The following is a 22,335-nucleotide window of genomic DNA, read 5'->3' on the forward strand; positions in this document are numbered from 1 at the left end:
TTTATCAAGCATTAGTTGTGTGCTAGAGTATGTATTTTGCATGTTTTATCTCAGTTCCCTATAACTCTACAAGGTAAGTATTTTTAACTACGTATTAAAGATGAGGAAAATCAGTTTCAAGACTTGCCCAAGTATCATGCCCAGGAGCCATAAAAGAAAATTTGGGTGCCCAATGAAGGAAGGGAAGGGAAGCTTTCAAGCAACACAAAGGAAGCAGAGCAACAAGAAATTGCAACAAAGAAGGATGAGTCAAGGTTTCTAACTTAGCTCTCTAGGAAGATGGTGGCAGCTGTAACAAAAATAGGGGACACAGGAAGAAGAAAAAAGGGATAGGAGATGGTGGTGGACAGTTAAGAATGGAGTAATGATGGTGACTGATGAGATCATTTTTGAACATAGATGACAGTGAGGTATCAATAGTGGCAACCTCCATAATCAGAAGACAATCAAGCATTCAGTTCATATGTAAAATAAAACTAAAAACATGAGTTTTGGCAACAGGTTATTATGTACTTTCCAAGAAAATCTCCCAACACATGAAAGCCAGCCCTCCATCTTACCTGCAATCACCCAGGACTGATACAGAGGGTGCATTGAGAGGCGTCTGATTCGAGCCCTGGAAGGATGACAGTGACTTGAAATTGGCAACTGGAACCTCATGTCCCAACAAGCCATGGTACCACTGCTTGTACCTTAAAGAAAAAAGGAAAAAAAGATTACCATCTAATGATCAAAGTGCATCAAGCTGCATTTATACAAATGAAAAATAGTATTAGCTTTTTATGAATTTATTTGAAAAATGCCTTCGTTACTTAAAAAAAAGTTTTGTTCTCATGAAGCTGTCTCACCATTTTCAAACAATACCCCTTTGGTTGATAAATAACTGAGATATAAAGTGCTTATCATAATGCTACTACTAATAATGTAAATTGAAAATGAATAATTTATTAGTTGCTGACATTGTTATTAATTGCCGAAGGCACCCACAAAAACAGAAGCTATTGAGAAGATACAAAATGAATTTGGTAAGTCAAAATGTTCAGATTGCCTTAAATACCCAAAGATGTTTTACTGGTATTCAATGATCACTTTACCAATCCCAAAGTAGCAGCAGCTTTGTAGCTATCATCAGATTTCAATTGTTTCCATTTGCCCTTCCCTCTTAAACATTCTATAGACAGGTATGTTACATCTTTCTATCCCTGTGCAGTTTATTCACACAAAAGGCAAAAAAAATGCATTCCATATAAACTACATAAAAAGTAATAAAGCAAAGGGCACACACTTAACAGTGTAACAAATATGAGTTAGGGAATCTAGAAAACCTAAATTCAAGCACAGAAGATAACTCTCTGAATAAGCATGCCAACCAAAAAAGAATAAGGTGGTAGTTTCTCAAGCGGCAGGTTCAAAACACCATGAGGGAAAAACGCGAAACTTAAGAAAGGGGCAGATGGGAAAAGGGGAAATGTTGATCAAAGAGTACAAAGTTTCAGTTAGGAGGAATTAGCTTTAGTGATCTACTGCAGAGAATGGTGATTATAATACAGTGTATATTTCAAAGTTGCCAAGAGTAAATTTTAAATGTTTTCATAGCAAATAAGTAGGTAAGGTGATAGATTTGTTAGTTTGATTTAATCATCCCACAATTAATACATGTATCAAAACATCACACACTGTACCCAATAAATATATACAATTGTTTGTCAAAAAAGAAATTTTACAAAAGCAGCAATCCCATTCTTGGGTATATATATGCCTGAGATTAATGGAAATATATGTCCTTACAAAGACTTATTTGCAAATATTTACAGCAGGTTGACTCTGAAAAGCCAAACACTAGAAACAACTCAGCTATCCATCAACTGAGGGATAGAGGGATACACAAATTGTTATCTATAAAATGGAATATCATGCAACAATACATTTTTTAAAATCCTGCTTAAGCAAGCTGGATCACTTGGTTCATCTTTAGCCTTTGGAGACAAGGCAAACAATAAAGTAAGAAACCATTGCTTAGCTCTTCTCTCAACAACAGGCACTGTGACAGATCCTTTTACTTCATTAAATCCTCAAAGCTGCCCTTGAAAGGATTAGCCCCATTTGAAGATGAAGATAGCTGAACCTCAGAGGAGTTAAATAACCTGCCTAAAGCTATTGGAATTTAAACCATGCCTGCCCAAACTTGGATGCTATTTTCCTTAAGTCTGCTGCTTCACTGCCAGAGTAAGAGAATGCCAGCAAATCTGATCACTTAATGATTATAAAGTAAGGAGGCTCATTTAAGAACAAGGACAATGAGGAAACTGTTTTATGCCTTAGGATACTGATTCCACCCTTTCAAACCTGTTTTTTAATGAAAAAAAAATAAAATTGCAAGTTATTTTAACATGACTATGAAAAAAAAAAAAGACGGGAAAAATTACCAATGAACAAAGAGGAAAAAACTGATTTCACAAGACAGCAATTGCAGGCATTAGTGGCATTCAAAACCCAGCCAATGACTTGAAAGTTAGCTTACCAATGCAGAGCCAGCATTGGTGGATGTCCACAGCAAAGGAAGTGATGAGGCCCGACTTTAAATCATGCTTTAAAGTCCACGCATTGCTTGAAGACCTAAGGTCCCAGCCAACCAGAGAGCCATTCACAGTGGCATAGGCAAGAACAGACTGTGCTCCAGAGTTGAAGTGATGCATATCCACAACACAACCGTCCTCCTTCTGATCTAGAATTCTAGAGAAATACACAAAGCACAGACGTTTCCAGTCACTGAAAACATAGCACTAGTCTCCCTTTAAGATGACTTTATATCCTATCCATAGTCAAGAAACCAGAGCTATGTGACTCTATCAAGAAAACGAAAGCCGACACATTAAAAAAATTCCAGATGTAGAGAAGAATTGCAAAAATAGTAGAGTTGCTGTATATCCTTCACTCAAGCTTCCCCTTAGGTAAACAACTTATATAACCATAGAACATTTATCAAAACTAAGAAATTAACCTTGCTATAATACTAGTAATTAGAGTACAGAACGTGTTCTGATTTTATCAGTTTTCCCAATAGTGTCCTTTTACTATTCCAGGATCCAATCCAGGATAATACAGGGCAATATTAAATTTCTTCCAATCTGTGACAGTTCCTCAGTCTTTCATGACCTTGATATTTTTGAAGACTACTGGTTATTTTAGAGAATGTTCCTCAATTTGGGTTTGTTTGATGTTTTCTCATTATTATCCTGAAATTATGCCTTATTGGGAAAGATACCACAGAAGTGATGTGCCCTTCTCAGTGCATCATGTGAGGGAGGACCGGATGTTAGCATGTACAGGTTAATTATCACTTAGCCAAAATGCTCACAACCACAACTGTTTCAGATTTGGGTTTTTTTTTTTTTTTAGCATGAAACATTTGCATATACATAATGAGGTATCTTGGGAATGGGACACAAGTCTAAACATGAAATTCATTTGTTTCATATATACCTTATACACCTAGCCTGATGGTAATTTTGTACAAAATACTTTTGTGCATGAGACAAAGTTTTAACTGCAAACTGTCCCATAAAGTCAGGTGTGGAATTTTTCACTTGTGACATCATATTAGCATTCGAAAACTTACAGTTTTTGGAGCATTTTGGATTTTCAGATTAGAAATGTTTAACCTGAATCACTTATGATGTTAACTTGAATCATGTGAATTAAGCTGGTGTCTGCTAGGATTCTCCATTGTAAACATTTTTTCCCTTTATAATTACTCAATATTTGGCAAAAATACTTTGAGACAATGCAAAAATTCAGTTTCTGCTTTAACTTTGGCCCACTAATTTTAACATCCATTTGAGGGAGCATGCCTGTGGTAAGCTAATGGTGACTTTTTGTTTCCCTCAGTCCTTCTACATTAGTTGACTGGGATTCTTCTGTAAGTTGTCACTTCTTCCCCATAAACTTATTTATTCACTTATTTATACCACTATGGATTCACAGATATTTATTTTATTCTTTGAGTTACAATCTAATACTACAATTATTTATTTTGTTGCCCAAGTTGTTCCAACTTTGCCCACTGGAAGCTCTTTCATGTTAGCTCTTGTGCCCTTTCAATGTACTTTTTTAAATACTTCCTAATTTTTTGACACCACAAGATGCTCCAGGCTTGTTTTATTTTTCCCACACACCTGGAATCAACCAGTTCTAGAAGTACTAGTTCCTTTTATTGAAGAATGGTATTTAGAAACAAAAATCTAAGCCCTATGTGTTCATTGCTACGGCAGTGTGCCTGCTTCTAGTTCCTCTCAATGGCCAGAGCTAAAAGATATATTATGTATACTACTTCAGGCATGTGGACACATCTATATTTCTGCATCTGTTCGTGTGTTTGTATACATGTATATATTTATGCCTATGCATACACAAATATCATGAGTCCATACTGATAATCTCCAACTCCTATCTAGCACCAGAGTTCATTCATCTGTAATACCTTTCTCTAACAGTGACAAACCTGGCTCTCATAACTACAATACATTTACTTATTTGTTCAACCTGAATATATAAACGAAGGGTAAAGTTTCAGAATTGTTAAACCTGAAACTGCTAAAATGAAATTGTTAACCCTGTGAAAAACAACCAACTAGAATACAACGTTTGAGTTGAGTTCCTTTTGTCATTAGCCTCCCAGTGTCAAATTCAAAAACTGTTTTCCAAAGTTACTCCTTTATTCGCCATGCCCTTCAATGTGATTATGTGATTCACTTGTAAAACAGATTAATTTGTCACAGACTGCATTCCATCTTTCCCCTTACATCCTGGTTAACTTTTTAAATTTTACATACATTTAAATTCACTTTTTGTGGTATACAGTTAAGTGGGTTAATTAGCAAAATGCATTTAAGATTCATCAATGTTGTTGCATGAGTCAATAACTCATTCCTTTATAATGCAGATTATTATTCTACTATATAAGTGTACTAGTTTTTTTTTGAAGCTGAGGCATTTTTAAAACTAAAAAGAACATCATAAAACATTGGCCAGTCTCCTTTATTCACACATATCATGCATTCATACAGGCAGTTTTAGTTTTATCTTTTAGATCAGAGGTCAGCAAACATCATCTATAAGGAGTCAGATTGTAAATATTTTAGGCTTTGTGAATCACATACATTCCTGTTGAATATTATTTTTATTTTGCAACCCTTTAAAAATGCAAACATCATTCTTATTTTATGGACCATACTGCAAGCTGTAGTCTGCTAACCCTTGGATAAACACTTGTACTTACAAATATTCTAATTTTGACCATATTTTCCCATTGAGGAGTGATGAAAAAATCCAACTGCCAACTAAAATGTAAAATGGTTCCTTCCACAAATTCTAATTAGTAAGAGCTATCTATGAGAACAGTTGATATAACCAAAACAATCAAAAACTTATGACCTTATGGCAAAGTTTCTTTGAAGCACACACTGTGAGGCAGAGTAAAAGCTAAACATCCTGCCTGTCTCCTTACCTAGGTAGTTAGGTAGTTATCTAGTGTTTGCTTTAAGACAGTAACATTTACAGTGAAAAGTGCCATTGGCTGAGAGACAACCGTGCACTGAATGTGCATGTCTGTCTGCGTGTAGGGCCTGTGGGCTCAGTCATCACACAGTGCACTATGCCAAGTTATTAAATAATTTACATGAAACTCAATAGATATGTTACTATACAGACATCATCTGCGGAAACAGACTTTCTTAAAAATAGGCTGGTATTTGTTATTAAAGGCCATAAAGAATATGTCCTGGACAAAAGCTGCTTAAATCTGTTCAATGAATGTGTGGAAAATCTTTTTAAATGCAAAAAGCAAAACAAAACAAAACAAAAGCCCAGGTGACCCAACAAATATCCCTTTCTGCCTTAAGCTACCTAATGGCCATGGCTTATCATCCACTAAACAACTCCTCATTTTGCTTTCTTCTGTGGGGTCCACCACCTCCACCTGGCCCTTCTTAACCACCTTGCTTCACCTGGCTAACTCACACCTGGTCTTGCCTGTTGTCTTCCCTTTCAAGCTGGCTCCTGTTATCCATGTAAAAATTACCACATTGCACTGAAATTGTCTGTTCACTTGTCTATTTCTTCCACTAGACTGTAGATTCTTAAAGCATAACATATCTTGTCTTTGAAATCTTCAGTGTGTAACACATATTGGTCAAAAATTGTTCTGCTTTGTCTTTAAATATCTTACCTTGTATGCATTTAATCTGCAAGCAACCACAATTTATAAAAAATAAACATTCTTAAATAAAACCACCGCTATTTTGTTTTAAAATGATAAGCAAATCATCTGTCTAAATGCTCTTCTCCATGTCCCCATCAACTTCAGAGATTTTAATGCCAAGCAACAGAATGCTGACATTTGAGTTTTCCTTAATGAAGAACACTCACATTCTCAAAATCAGGCAGAGTTGTGTTTTTAGTAGCTGAGACAGAAGATATAACTGGTAATTTTAGGTTATTCAGACAAATTCTAGACTGGGATGAGCTGCAAGTTCAAAGCTGCCCCTTTGACCTCTTGACAAGTTTGCAGAAGATAAGATACATAGATACCATCTTCTGAGACTAACCACATTTGACAGTTTTGAGCTGGAAGCACATTTTTAAAATTTTATTTATTTATTTATTTATTTTATGGGCTTAAAAAAAGAAGTGCAATGTAAGAGGCCCTTAGTTGATCCCAACTACATTGCAGGGTAGAAAGGAGACTTAAGGTACTGTAGTGCACTAAATACAATGTTTAAGAAAGACAAAAGATAAGATACCTGCTTTGTAGAGGATGGATTTTAGGAGACTTGGGCAGCTTAGAAGCCTCAATTCCAAGAAGCTGGACAGCACCATTATCAGATGCTATGGCTAAATAGTGGGAGCCTTGGCAGAATGTGAGCGTCTTGACTCGTCCTCCAATTCGGCTGTATGTAAGAATAGATCTGAATGAAAGAAAAATAAAATTCATTTATGAACCAATGTCACTGCTAATGTTAAATATCCACATGGCCATTAGCAAGCAAAATTATTACTTTGGGGTCCATTTAATCTCCCTGATCTCAGGACAAAAACAAGAATTTCCTCTCAAAAGAACTGTTACAAAAATTGCCTTTTCTTCCGATATTTTCAAATGGCCATCTGCACACACTTCTCTCTATCATAGACTACCCCTCCTTCTCCTCTTTTTTTTTTTTTTTTTTTCTGAGACAGGGTCTCACTCTGTTGCCAGGCTGGAGTGTAGTGGCCAGTGGTGCGATCACAGCTTACTGCAGCCTCGACCTCCTGGGCTCAAGTGATCCTCCCACCTCAGCTACCCTGGCAGCTGTGACTACAGGCGTGCATCACCATGCCTGGCTAATTTTTTGTAGAGATGGGGTTTCGCCATGTTGCCCAGGCTGGTTTTGAACTCTTTTCTAATGAGAACTCCCATACTTGTGGTCCTGATCCTATCTTCTTCAACTCCTGGAATATCTTAAACCCTCACTCTTATACCCTTCAGTTATTCTATCACACAGCTTGGCACAGAAGGAAAAGCATTGGCTTTGGAATCACGGACTTCTACTACCAACTACTTATATGATGTTGGTCAAGCTACTTAACCAGTTGTATGCCTCAGTTTACTCATCTACAAAACAAGTACTGACCTATTTCCCTAACCGGACCATAGGGAAAATCAGGTAATATGTAAACCATAAAACATTCATAAATGCAAAATTATAATATTCAGTCTCTCCCACACATATGCTGACCTCTCAAGCTGTGTTTTCTACTCTCTTTGAATTCACTGCCAAACTTCTTGAATATATCATCTACACAGGGGACCTCCATTATCACCAACTCCCTCCTCCATTACTCTCCACACAGACTGCAACTTTACGCTTCTAAGGGGCCATACCTCTAAAAGGTCAAAAGCCCCTGAACACCGAACACATTCATCTATCTTGTGTAATTTATTTCACTTTATTATAAAAGTTAATGCATATTAAGTGTACTAAATACAGAAATGTAAAAACATTTATAATACCACCCAGAAACACTTAACATTTTGTTACATATCCTTCAAAAGGTTTTCTATACATATTACAATACATTCACACTTGTTTTTTTTAAAAAAATCTGTAATATTTCATATATTTTATCAGTATCTCTCTCTAGTTTTTTTTTTTTTTTTTTTTTTTCTGAGACAGAGTCTCACTCTGTCACCCAGGCTGGAGTGCAGTGGTGCGATCTGGGCTCACCACAAGCTCTGCCTCCTGGGTTCAGGCCATTCTCCTGACTCAGCCTCCTGAGTAGTTGGGACTACAGGCGCCCACCACCACACCCAGCTAATTTTTTTGTATTTTTAATAGAGGCAGGGTTTCACCATGTTAGCCAGAATGGTCTCGATCTCCCAACCTAGTGATCCGCCTGCCTCAGCCTCCCAAAGTGCTGGGATTACAGGTGTGAGCCACCACACCTGGCCTAGTTGTTTTTCTTAATAACAGCTTTGCTGAAATGATTTTCAAATACCATAGATTTTAAAGTGCATAATTCAATGATTTTTAGTATATTAACAGAATTCTGCAAAGATCACCAGTAATTCCAGGCCATTTTTATTAATTATAAGAAATCAAAAAATAAGCTGTCCTCATACCCATTAGCATTCATTCCTTATTTCCCCCTCTCCCTAGCCTCTGGCAACAACTAATCAACTTTATTTTCTATGAATTTCCCTGTTCTGGACATTTCATATAAATACAGTCATACATTGTGTGGTCTTTTATATCAAGCTTCTTTCACATAACATAATGTCAAAGTTTATGGTGTGGTATGTAATACCTCATTCATTTTTAGGCTTAATATTATTCCACTGTATGGCTACATCACATTTTGCTTATCCATTCATCTGCTGATAAACATGTGAGTCATTTCCACCTTTTGGCTATTATGAATAACGCTGCTATAAATATTTGTGTATAAGTCTTTGTGTGGACAAATGTCTCAAACACAATGCCCACAGGGGCCCCACAGGGGCCCAATCAGTACTGTAAATGAGTAAAGACAGCCAGTGACAAGCAATGGCAGAGATGGGAGTGCCAATATGCTTGGTCTCTCACACACACTTAGGCTTTCTCTCCCCATCTCTTTTAATATTGACATATAATTCACATATCACCAAATTTACCCTTTTAAAGGGGTTTACAAAGTCACCACATTTTACAACTATCACCATTATCTAATTCCAGAACATTTTCAGCATACCCAAAAGAAACCCTGTATCCATTAGCTGTCTCTTCCCAATGCTCCCTTCCCCCAGCACCTGGCAATTACTAATCTACTTTGTGTCTCTATGGATTTATCTATCTGAATACTTAATATAAATGAAATCATACAATATGTGGCCTTTGGATCTGGCTACTTTCACTTAGCATACTGTTTTCAAGGTTTACTCACATTATAGCATGTAGCAGTACTTCATTCCGTTTTATGGCTGGTTTTCAACTGTATAGATATACCACATTTTATCATAATTTCCATTTTTTGGCTATTATGAATAATGCTGCTATGAACATTTGTGTACAGATTTTTGTGTGAACATATGTTTTCAACTGTCTTGGGTATATAGCTAGGAATGGAATCATAGGGTCATATGGTAACTCTATGTCTACCGTTTTGAAAGGCTACCAAACTGTTTTCCAAAGTTACTGCACTGTTTTTACATTCTCACCAGCAATGTATAAAGCTTTCAATTTATCTACATCCTAACACTGGTCACTGCCTTTTTTACTATAGCCATTGTAGTGGGTGTGAAGGAGTATCTCACTGTGGTTTTGATTTACATTTCTCTAGTGACTAAGAAGCATCTTTTCATGCGCTTATTGGTCCTATTTGGAGAAACATCTATTCACATCATTTGCTTTTTAATTGGGTCATTTGTCTTTTTATTGTTGAGTTGTAAGTGTTCTTTATACATTTTAAATAATAGATCTTTATCAGATATATGATATATGTTATTTCTCCCATTCTGTGGATTGTCTTTTCACTTTCTTGATAGAGTCCTTCGAAGCACAAAGGTTTATAACATTGATGAAGTCCCATTTGTCTATTTTTTCCTTTGTTACTTGTGTTTTTCACGTAATTTCTCAGAAATCCTTGCCTAATCCATGGTCATGAAGATTTACATGCCTATGTTTTCTTCTAAGTTTTATGGTTTTAGTTCTTACATTTAGTCTATGATCCATTTTGAATAAGTCTACTGAAATTCATCTTTTTCCATGCGGAAATCCTATAATCCCAGCACTGCTTGTTCTAAAGGCCATTCTTTTCCCAACTGAAATATCCTGACACCTCTGTCAAAAAAAAAATGACCATAAATGTACTTCTGCATGTCAGTTCTATACCATGAATATATGACACAGACATAGACATAGACATGATCTATATGTCTATCCTTATACCCGTACTACACTGTCTTAATTTACTGTAGCTTTGTAGCAAGTTTTGAAATACAGAAGTGTGAGTCCTTCAATTTGGTTCTTTTCTTTCAATATTGTTTTGGTTATTCTGAGTCTCTTGTAATTCTTTATGGATTTTAGGATCAGATCATCGATTTCAGGGAAAAAAAAAAGGCAGCTAGAAATTCCATAGAGATGGCATCGCATCTGTACATCGAGAGATCTGCCATCTTAATGATATTAAGTATTCCACTGCATGAACATGGGGTTTCTTTCTATTCATTTGAGTCTTCTTTAATTTCTTTCAATGATCTTTAGTATTTTTCAGTATACAAATCTTATACTTTCTTGTGTAAAATTTATTCCCAAGTATTTTGTTCATTTTGATACTACTGTAAATGGATGGTTTCTTAAATTCATGTTTGGACTATTCATTGCTACCATAAAGAAATGCAAGTGATTTTTATATATTCATCTTGTATTCTGCAACTTTGTTGAACTTATTAGTTCTAGTAAGTTTTTAAAACAATTATTGTTTAATTATTGCTAATTCTCCATATACATGATCATGCTGGCTACTAACAGAAAGTTTTACTTTCTCCTTTCCAATTTGTATGCCTTCAATTTCTTCTTCTTACCCAAATGTCCTGGCTAGAACCTCCAGTACAGTATTCAAATAAGTGGCAAAAGTGGACATTCTTGTCTAACTCTTCATCTTAGGGGGAAAGCTTTCAATCTTTTAACATTAAGTACAATGTTAGCTGTAGGGTTTTTTGTTGTAGATGGCCTTTATTCATTTTCTATTACTAACTGGTTTGTTGAGTTGGTTATAATCATAAAATGATACTGGACTTTGTCAAATACTTTCTGAGAGTTTGTTGAGATGACCATTTGGTCTTTACCCTTTATTCTATTAATATGGTACATTCATTAATTGATTTTCATGTGTTGAACCAACCTTATATTCCTAAGAAAAATTGTACTTGGTCATGATATTATTTTTTACATGTTGGATTTAGTTTACTATTATTTTGTGGTAGATTTTTACACCTATATTAATTATGGGTATTGGTCTACAGCTTTCTTGTGAACTGTTTATCTGGCTGTGGTATCAGATTGACATCTGCCTCAAAGGATGAGTTAAGAAGTGTTCCCTCATTTATTTTTTGGAAGACTTTTTGAAGAATGGATGTTACATTAGTCTCTTCTTATCCACAGTTTCACTTTCCCTAGTTTCAGTTACCTGTGGTCAACCGCAGTCAGAAAATATTAAATGGAAATTCCAGAATAAACAATTCATAAGTTTTGAACTGTGCACCATTCTGAGTAGTGTGATAAAATCTCACACTGTCCTGTTCCCTCCTGCCCAGGACTTTAATCATTCCTTTATCCAGCTGAAGACATTACCTGCTAGTTGATCAGTCAGTCACTTAGTAGCTGTCCCAGTTATGAGATTGATAATCACAAGAAGGGTGAGTACAGAACAGTAAGACATTTTGAGAGATAGAGACTCTATTCACATAACTTTTATTAAAATATATTATTGTAACTGTTCTATTAGTGTTGTTGATCTCTTACTGTGCCTAATTTATAAACTAAACTTTATCATAGATATGTACACATAACAAAAACCACAGTATACATAAGGTTTGGTACTATCCGAGGTTTGGGACATCCACTAGGGGTCTTGGATTGTCTCTTCCACACATAATGGAGAACTATTGTAATTCTTTAAACCTTTGGTAGAATACACCATAAAGCTATCTCAGCCAGGGCTTTGTGGGAGGTTTTTTGATTACTAATTTCTTTATTATTATAGATCTATTCAGATTTTATATTTCTTCTTTAGTCATTTTCAGCAGCTTGTGTCTTTCTAGGAATTCATCCATTTCACCTAGGTTATCTAATTTGCTGGCATACAATTGTTCATGGTATTCCTTTCATAGTACTCTTTTTTTATTTCTGTCAAGTCAGTAGTAATGTGCCCCCTTCAATTCCTGTTTTTAGTAACTTGAGTCCTCCCTTTTTATTGATCACTATAGTAAAGGTGTGCCAATTTTGTTTATCTTTACAAACAACCAATTTCTACTTTTGCTGATTTTTTTTTTTCTATTCTCTATTTCATTTATTTCCTCTTCAGTCTTTATCATTCCTTTCTACTTGCTTTAAGTTTGCTCTTCTTCTAGTTTCTTAAGGTTAGGGTTAAATTACTAATTTGGGATCTTTCTTCTTTTTTAATATAAATGTTTACAGTGATAAATTTCCCTTTTAGTACTCCTCTAGATGCATTATCCAAGTTTTAGTATGCTGTTCCCATTTTTATTCATCTCAAAGTATTTTCTAATTTCCCTTTGAAACGCTGGGTATTTAGCCATATGTTGTTTAATCTCCATGTATTTCAGAATTTCCTAACTTCCCTTCTGTTACTGATACCTAGTTTCATTCCAATTTGGTTAACAAACATACTTCATATGCTTTCAATCCTTTTAAACTTATTGAGGTTTGTTTTGTGACCTAATATATGGTTAAATATAGAAAAGATTACATGTACACTTAAGGAAGATTTAAATTCTGCTGTTCCTGAGTGGAGTATTCTACTGATACCTGTTAAATCTGGTTGGTTTGTAGTGTTGCTCACATTTTCTATTTCTTTGCTGATCTTATGCTTAGTTGTTCTATCCATCTTGAAAATAAGCTATTAAAGGCTCCCACTATTATAACTGAATTATCTATTTTTCCCTTCAATTCTATCGGTTTTTGCTTAGTGTGTTTTTGGGGCTCTGCTGTTAAGTATGTTTGTAATTGTTATGTCTTCCTGATGAACTGATCCTTTTACCATTATAAAATCTCCTTGGTTGTCTCTAGGAGTAATTTTTGCCTTAAAGTTTATGTTCTATCTGACATTGGCCACTCCAGCTTTTTTTTTTTTTTTTTTTTTTTTTGAGACGGAGTCTTGCTCTGTCACCCAAGCTGCAGTGCAGTGGCAAATCTCAGCTCAGTGCAACCCCCACCTCCCGGGTTCAAGCAGTTCTCCCACCTCAGCCTCCCGAGTAGCTGGGACTACAGGCGTGTGCCACCACGCCTGGCAAAATTTTTTTGTATTTTTAGTAGAGTCATGGTTTTGCCATGTTGGCCAGGCTAGTCTCGAACTCCTGATCTCAGGTGATCCACCGCCTCAGCCTCCCAAAGTGCTTGGGATTACAGGCATGAGCCACTGCGCATGGCCTAGCTCTTTCTTAGGTACTATTTGCATGGTTTATCTTTTCAATTCTTTTACTTTCAGTCTATTTATGTCTTTAAATCTAAAGTGTGTCTATCATACATAGCATACAGTTGGATCATGTTTTTTCACCCCTTCTACCAACTCTGCCTTGTGATTACATTTATAAGTTGTGATTGCTCTGAGAATACAATGAACACCTTAAAATAATCAAATTAATACCAACTTAATTTCAGTAATACATAAAAACTTTGCTCTAATATGTCTCTTCCCTCCTCCCTCATATGTATAACTATTGTCATACAAATTACATATCTACATGTCATAAGCCCATTGACACAGTCTTCTAATTATCTCTTCATGCAGTCATCTTTCAAAATCAGATAGCAGGTAAAAAGAGTTACAAACAAAAATAATTTGTACTTTTATATTTACTTATGTTATCTTTACTGGTGCTCTTCATCTCTTTATATGGATTGAAGTTACTGTATCATATTCTTTCATTTCAGCATAAAGGACTCCCTTTAGTATTTCTTTTAGGGAAAATCTGCTGGCAATAAATTCCCTCTTTTTATTTATCTTGAAATTCTTAATTTCTCCTTGGTTTCTGAAGGACAATTTTACTGCCACAGAATTATTGGTTGACAGTCTTTTCCTTTCAACACACTGACTTCTGGCCTCTATCATTTCTGACTTAAAAATCAACTGTTAATTTTATAGAACATCCCTTGTATGTGATGAGTCACTTTTCTCTCTCTGCTTTCAAAATTCTGTCTTTGTCTTCCAACAGTTTATGATGTGTCCAGGTATGGCTCCCTTGATTTTGTCCTATTTAGAATTCATTGAATTCTTGGGTGTGCAGATTAATGTTTTCCATCAAACATGAAAAGTTCTCAGCCATTATTTCTTCAAATATTCTTTCTGTCCCCTTTTCTCTCTCCTCTCCTACTGGAACTTTTATTATGCATGTGTGAGAATGCTTGATAGTGCACCACAGGTCTCTAAGGCTCTATTCATTTTTCTTTATTCTTTTCTTCTTTGTACCTCTGACTGGATAATACCAACCATCTTCAAATTCTCTGATTTTTTGCTCTTATCAGTGGAAATCTGCTATTGAAGTTCTCCAGCAAATTTTCTGTTATTATACTTTTCAGTTCCAGAATTTCTATTTTATGATTTCTATCTCTTTATTGATATTGTCTATTTGGTTAGACACTGTTCTCATACTTTCCTTTAAATATTTAGACATGGTTTTAGTTCTTTGCACATATTTTTAATAGCTGATTTAAAATCTATGTCTAGTAAGGTTTTTTCCTAGGTATAAGCCATCCTTACTTGTTTCTTTGCCTAACTTGTAATCTTTTGTTCAAAACTGTGCATTCAAAATTAATATAACGTGTCAATTTTGGAAATAAGATTCCAAAGTGTTGCTATTTGTTTAATGACTTTCCTCCACTAATTCTATAAAGTCTGTATTCCTTGTCATATGTGGCCACTGAAGTCTCTGTTCAGTTAGGTAAGTGATCACCTAATAACTGGCAGGTATTTCTTTCAATGCCTTGAACAATTAAGTGAGGGTTTTGTTTGTGTTGTGGCACACCTTCAACACTCCATCAAGCATTTTACATCTCTGCTTTAGCCTTCAGTTCTTGCTTGCACAGAGTCTCAAAGCCAGCCAGACATGAGAATTTGGTCTTTTCAGTTTCTTCCTGGGTATGTGCACAACTCTACACATACATGTGGTCTTATAAGGACCCAAGAATAGATCAAAACTTTTCAAAGGCCCATATGGACATCTCATTACCCAGTTCTTCCTTTTAAGCTTTCTGTCAGCCTGCTGATGCCACCTCAAGATGACTGCTATGTTAAATAAATGGTGCTGATTAGTTTCAACAAGTGCCCTGTGAGTAAGAGTTTTCTCAAAGAACAAGGTATGGGCCAAGTCAAATAAAGATGGGCCCTGAAAACAGAACTTTTCAGCCAGCTGGCACAGAGGTCAAATAGTGACAATTCTCTGGAGATGTGCTTTTGGGGAGCTCCAATGCCATTATGACCCCTCCACTGTCTACTAAGGGGCTAGTTTTCATAACTACCATAGTTGTGAGGCTGTTTTTCCAGACTACCACAGAGCTGGTAAAGGGGGATAAGATTACAGTAAGTTAAGGACGACATGGCTCACTATTCTTACTGAGAGTCAGGTGTTTTTCTTGAATCCACTTTAGATTGCTGAAAGGTGTTAGCTGATTTCCAAAGTTCTCAGAAAATTGACTTTGACAGTCTTTGCCAGTATTCTCATTGCTTTATGGAGGAACAGATTTTTGGAGGTCCTTACTCTGCCATTCCAAAATAGAAACCCCATATGCTTTTCTTAAACCTAATTTTAAAAAACACAATTATCAATGTTTTTCATTGATAACTGCTGCTGAACTTTTAGTTTGCTCCTAATTTTTTGCTATTATAAAGAAAGTCAATCTGAACAGTCTTGAAACTAAATCTGAGTTGATTCTTAGTTACTTCCTTAGGATATGTACATCATAAAGGCTTGTGATACATATATTGTAAAAAAACCTCCAGGAAAGAGGTATCAATTGCATTCCACCAGAGGGCACTATATGAGAGTGCATCAATGGCATTATGAGGTTTTCATGCTAGTAGGGTTTTTGTCTCACTGAGAGAGGCCTACATATTCTTTTCATAAGTTTTCTCTTTCATTGTAGTTTATAATATTAACTTAAATGGTTTCTTCTCTTTCCCTTTCTTGCCCCTCTCTTCCTGTTCCAAAAATTTAACTTCCTAAGATTCAGACATCAGGCTTTTGTTGCCCTTCATATTCCCTTTACTTCATAGCCACTCAAAAACGCTGACTTTCAACACTACCAGTGACTCCAAAACATGTAACCCTAACATTGACAACTTTCTTTTGTACTGCTCATATTGTTTTAAGTTTTCACTGTGATAGAACTCCATTTAGATATTTTACTACCACCCCAATTTCAACGAATACCAAATGCATCCATCTCCCCTAAAATTGAGAAGCTGAATGAGCCAGAAATAAGGTAGCACAAGAAGAAAACATAGAAAATATAATTTAGAATACTATAAACAAATAAGTTGAAAAAGCTGTGCAAAAGTTTAGAAAAACAGCAATTTTTCAAGAACTAGTCCCAAAGAGACAAACTGAAAGTTTAACTCAAATAAGAAAAAAGAAAATGGCAGAGCCAAGATCTAGGTAGTCCAAATCACCAGTCATAATTCAGTAAGAAAATCAGGACTGGGAACTGAATGGTCTGCCAACATCACTCATGGGGGAAACTCCTCTTAGTCAGAATGTACTAGTAACATTTCCTAAGAAAACACATTAGCTTTGCTGTTCTTTCCCTGCCACCAGCTGTTTCCCACTTGGCTCTGGCAATAAGAATTGCTTCCTTCTCCCCTCACCAGTCAATAAAGGCATGTGATAAGGGCGACACACTGCATTTTCTTACCCTCTTTCCCAAGCCAAGGCCCATGGCTGGCCACAAACGAGAGCAGGTGTTACAGCAAAGCAAAAGAGTAACTGCATTCAGAGGAGATCCAGTCTCCTAACCATACAGACTTCCCAAATTCTATAAAGTCAGCTAAATTACCAAAATTTGGGGGATATTATCTGAAATGTGATACCAAAATACCACTGTCTAAAGCATGACACTGGGATACAGAAGGTATGACTGTAATAAAAATCACTTGAGAACTAACAAGCAGGGTTTTTGCAATTTACCATCCTAATAAAGGGGACAATGAATCCAACTGATAATAACAAAGAACCACTTGGAAAACAATTATCTGAAGAGGTACTTAAAATGCTAATTAAAATGCTAAGAATGGGCTGGGTGCGGTGGCTCACACCCGTAAACTCAGCACTTTGGGAGGCTGAGGCGGGCGGATCACTTGAGGTCAGGAGTTCAAGACCAACCTGGCCAACAATGGCAAAACCCCTCTCTGCTAAAAAGACAAAAATTAGCCAGATGTGGTGGCACACGCCTGTAGTCCCAGCTACTTTGGAGGCTGAGGCAGGAGAATCACTTGAACCCAGGAGGCGGTGGTTGCAGTGAGCCAGGATCGTGCCACTGTACTCCATCCTGGGCAACAGAGCGAGACTGTCTCAAAAAAAAAAAAAGGCTAAGAATGGTTAGGAAAAAATCAAAAGAATGGTAGTAGCAGGGGAAGGAAAGAGCAGGGATTTAAAAGAAAGGAATAGAAGGGAACCTCCTGGTATGATGGTCAAATTTTGCATCTTGAGAGGGATTCAGGATACAGTGGTATTATTTGTCAGAACTCATGGAATGGTTCATTTAAGATCTGTGTACTTCATAGCATACAAATTTTATATCAAGAAGAAAAAAGAGCTATAAATATTGAAATCCTGTTAATGATGCGCATGCTGAACTTTTTAGAGGGCACATACTGATGTCTGTATCTTATTTTGAAATCATTAAAAAAAAATGGGGCCAGGTAGTAGCTCACACTTGTATCCCAGCATTTTGGGAGACTTGAGAGGGTAGGATCACTTGAAGTCAGGAGTTCAAGACCAGCCTGGGCAATGTGGCGAGACCCCATTTCTCAAGTAAAAAAAAAAATTTTTTTAATTAGCTGGGTGTGGTGGCATGCGCCTGTAGTCCTAGTTACCTGAGAGGCTGAGGCGGGAGGATTGCTTGAAACCCAGGAGTGCAAGGTTACAGTGAGCTATGATCAGGCCACTGCACTCCAGCCTGGGCAAAAAGAGACCCTGTCTCTAAGAAATAAAATAAAAATAAAAATTTTAAACAATAGATTGATGGGAGGCAGAAAAATGAATAGTTATAAAACAGAGCAAATATAGTAAAATCATTACAAATCTAGGTGGCAAGTACATGGATGTTCACTGTGAAACACTTTCAACTTTGCTTGCATATTTGAATATTTTATAGTAAAATGTTGACCAAAAAAAAATTGCTCCACGGACCTAGGAGTCTTTACTTCTTTTTAAATTATGTTCTGACCAATACAACACAAACAGAGAATGAGGAAAAATACAATAATTAAGAATGGTGTAAAAATATAGAGCTAATCGGCACAAAATCTTAAGTAAATTTTTAAATTATTTTAGTTATCAAAGATATTTTGTTGTTTGATGATTTTGTGGCTAATTATGGTCAATGAACTTATAACAAGAAAAGCACCAGAGATTCTCCACATCTGTTTACACAGATGAGATTCAATTCTGATTTCTAGCAGCTTTCTTTTCAGACCAAACTAGGCAAAGAACAAATAAGAATATGGTAGAACCAATACAGAGAAAGAAAGAAAGAGAGGGAGGACAAACTGCAAATCAGATAGGGACATACTTATAAAGTTGTACAAATCTAAAATATTTATCATAATCACATTTATTAAAATCACATCATGCATATTTAAAGTCTTAGGGATTTGAAGTCATAAATTATATCCTTCTTGTCCGCAGGAGTGTGGCAATGGTACACTATTTGTTTTCCTTACACAGTTAGCCATTCTATAATTTTTTTACTTTTTTCATGATCATATTCCATCTAATCCATTCATTCAGCAAATCTTGTTATATCCAGGATCTGATCATTTCCCACCACCTCATACTGCTACCAAGCGACCAGCTCTTGCCTGATTATTTAATAGTCTTCTAACTGCTTCTGCCCTGCTCCTCTTCAGTCTATTCTCAACATAACAGCCAGAGTAATTCTGTTGACAACTAACTCAGATGACATCTCTCCTCTACTCGGAACTCTTCAAAGGCTCCCCACCTCACTCAGAGTCAAGGTCAAAGTCCTTTACAACAGCCTACAAAGCCATATCTAACTGGCCCCTCTTACTCCTCCACCTCGCTCACTTTGCTCCAGCCACAAAGACCTTTCTGCTGTTCCTCAACCATGCCAAACATGTTTCTTCCTCAGGGCCTTTGAAATGCCTGTTTCCTCTGCCTGGAATGTTTTTCCACAAGATATCCATATGGCTTTCTCTCACTTTTTTCAAGTCCTTCCTCAAATGTCATTTTCCCTGTGAGGCATTCTCTGGTTAATTTATTTAAAATTCTACCCTACCCCACCTCTACTGCATTTCCTAGCTTCCTTTCCTGCTGTATTTTTTACCACAATTTTTTTTAACCATCTAACACATTAGCTGTTTTACTTATACTTTCATTGTCTCTCACTTTCCACTAGAAGGTAAACTCCACAGAAGAAGGATTTTTGTCCATTTATTGTTGCTGTATGCCTGGTACCCAAAACAGTGGTTATTATAGAGTAAACACTCAATAAACATTTGTTGATTTGAATTAATGAACTGATTCATTCCTGAGCATATGGTACCTGGTAGTGGTGGTCTTCCCCTCCATCTTTTGACTGTTCCAGATTTTCACTGTGCCATCATTTGAACATGTTGCAAAAAGTGAGTGTTCATCAGAGACTCTAATTCGATTCACAGCAGATTTATGCTCATGAAGATGGGCAACTAACAGCCCTTTAGGACGCCATCCTAAGGAAAAGCAAAGGAGTGTATCATAAACTGTAGTTTACAAATACAATGTCCCCATCATCCCCTGTTATAATAACCAACAACCAGCTTGAAAACAATCATAAGAACTAAAATATTTGAAAGTACCAATAGTTGCCAATAAAGAGTGGTCTACTGGACCATGACAGATATTATTTACTGAGACATCAATTTGGCAATTAAGTGTTGCTTAAATAGCTTCAGAAAGGCAGCCCCTGGGGCCCTTCTCCAGGATCTGAGAAGGCACAGCAGTTACCTGAAAATGAAGGCACAGGGGTACCTGCTACCTCTGAAATCCCTGAACTACAAAATTTGACATCTTTTCTGTGATTTATTAAATAAAATACGTTACTCTAAGTATAATACACCACTTACAAAGACAGATTCTATCATAAAATACAGCAGTTTATGATCAACTTTTCACTGTTTTTAAAGTTGTGCTGGTATATCACAAAAACCGTTTGAACATTAAACAATTCCAAAATATTTATTTTGATAAGAAAATTTATGCAACTAATGATGCCACTTGCCACTTAATTATACTTTCTAAATCTTTAAATCATTGACCTTTACCAGCATTTTCCCCAAGTCCACATCAGTAGCCCATAGGAATTCACATGATTTGTAAATATCTATATATAAGCACACTATGCATCTTCTCAATTTCAATTTTTATCATTAAAATGTAGACAGAAACTCAAAAAATATTTTTAAACCTACAAATCTAGTATCAAAGACTAACTCTGCTACATTACACTAGGCAAGTCTGTTAAGATAGTTGAGTCAGATTTTCATTTGAAGTATCTCTAAATTGCTTTTAAGTCTTAACAGAATATGGAACTGTTTCCTCAAAATTTTAATGTTGATCATCGTTAAGGCGTAGGGTTAGAGGTGATGTTGTTTTCTTTTTATTTATTTACTTTATTATTTATTTATTTTTTTGAGACAGAGTCTTGCTCTGTCGCCCAGGCTGGAATGCAGTGATATAATCTCAGCTCACTGCAACCTCTACCTCCCAGGTTCAAGCAATTCTCTTGCCTTAGCCTCCGGAGTAGCTGGGATCACAGGCGTGTGCCACCACACCTGGCTAATTTTTATATTTTTCATAGAGATGGGGTGTCACCATGTTAACCAAGCTGGTCTCGAACTCCTGACCTCAAGTGATCCGTCCACCTCAGCCTCCCAAAGTGCTGGGATTACAGGCATGAGCCACCACAACCAGCCTGTTTTCTTTTTAAAAAAAGTACTCATCATTTTCTAAATTTTCTAACTTTTTCTTAAATAATATTAATGAAAGTATGTTAAACCTTCCAGAAATTAAAAGCAGGAATTTGGTCAAAGAAGCCAGACATTCAAGTGAAAAAGTGGCAAGGCATTAAACAGGCAAAACCTAGTACTATAAATGGGGAAAATGAAGCACAGATAGGCTAAATTATTACATGATTGGCCTAAACATGACTTTGCCAGTTGTAAAAAGATCCAACTCCACAAATAATGACAAGATTTCTTACTTACTGCTTCTTCTTCTGGGTTTCCCAAATAACATTTTTGTTCTTACCTCTTTTGTCTGGTAGTTAAGTATTCATTTCCTCTATTAGATTCTAGCCTTAAGCACCTAGACTAGACTACAACTACTTATCAACGGAACTTTTACCAGGTGGTGGTGGTTTACTCTCCCATTCAGCATTTTCCATCATCTGCTTAGCTATTCTCTCAGCATTGCACTGCTCCCGCTTTTGCTGGATGAGTTGCTGAAGTTCAGTTTTACAAGTTGTAATTCGAATCTGATAGGTGGATGGTAAGATTGTACTACTTAAAACCGGTATTACTGGTTTTTTATTTTGGACAGTTGTCACTTCTGGAACCTACAAAACAAATAGAATTCTAACTATTTACGTCGTAAGCAAAGTATATTTGAAGACAGAAGTGTATGCATGTTTTTATCTATAAATTATAACAGCTTTTTGTCCTCATTAATGTACCAATTTTAAAATCGATATAATTACAATTACATTTTTTAGTGAAAACCCAGTTAAAATGAAGTATAACCACAAATGCTACATTTCCATTTTTTATATAAATCCTACATTTTATATATAAAAAAACTGATCAGCATGA

General features: G+C 36.0%; 1 protein-coding gene across 1 annotated transcript in view; it reads right to left on the bottom strand.

Moving 5' to 3' along the window:
- The window catches only part of PIK3R4 (phosphoinositide-3-kinase regulatory subunit 4), a 67,896-nt gene that overhangs the window by 4,756 nt on the left and 40,805 nt on the right, over positions 1 to 22,335 (bottom strand). The window contains exons 12-16 of the mRNA NM_014602.3: positions 21,872 to 22,082; positions 20,034 to 20,199; positions 6,801 to 6,965; positions 2,522 to 2,733; positions 561 to 692 (exon numbers count right to left, since the gene is read on the bottom strand). Coding sequence (NP_055417.1) covers positions 561 to 692; positions 2,522 to 2,733; positions 6,801 to 6,965; positions 20,034 to 20,199; positions 21,872 to 22,082 — 886 coding nt within the window. The remainder of the gene's footprint in view (positions 1 to 560; positions 693 to 2,521; positions 2,734 to 6,800; positions 6,966 to 20,033; positions 20,200 to 21,871; positions 22,083 to 22,335) is intronic.

Source organism: Homo sapiens, chromosome 3 (genome assembly GCF_000001405.40).
Source record: "Homo sapiens chromosome 3, GRCh38.p14 Primary Assembly".
Lineage (NCBI taxonomy): Eukaryota > Metazoa > Chordata > Mammalia > Primates > Hominidae > Homo > Homo sapiens.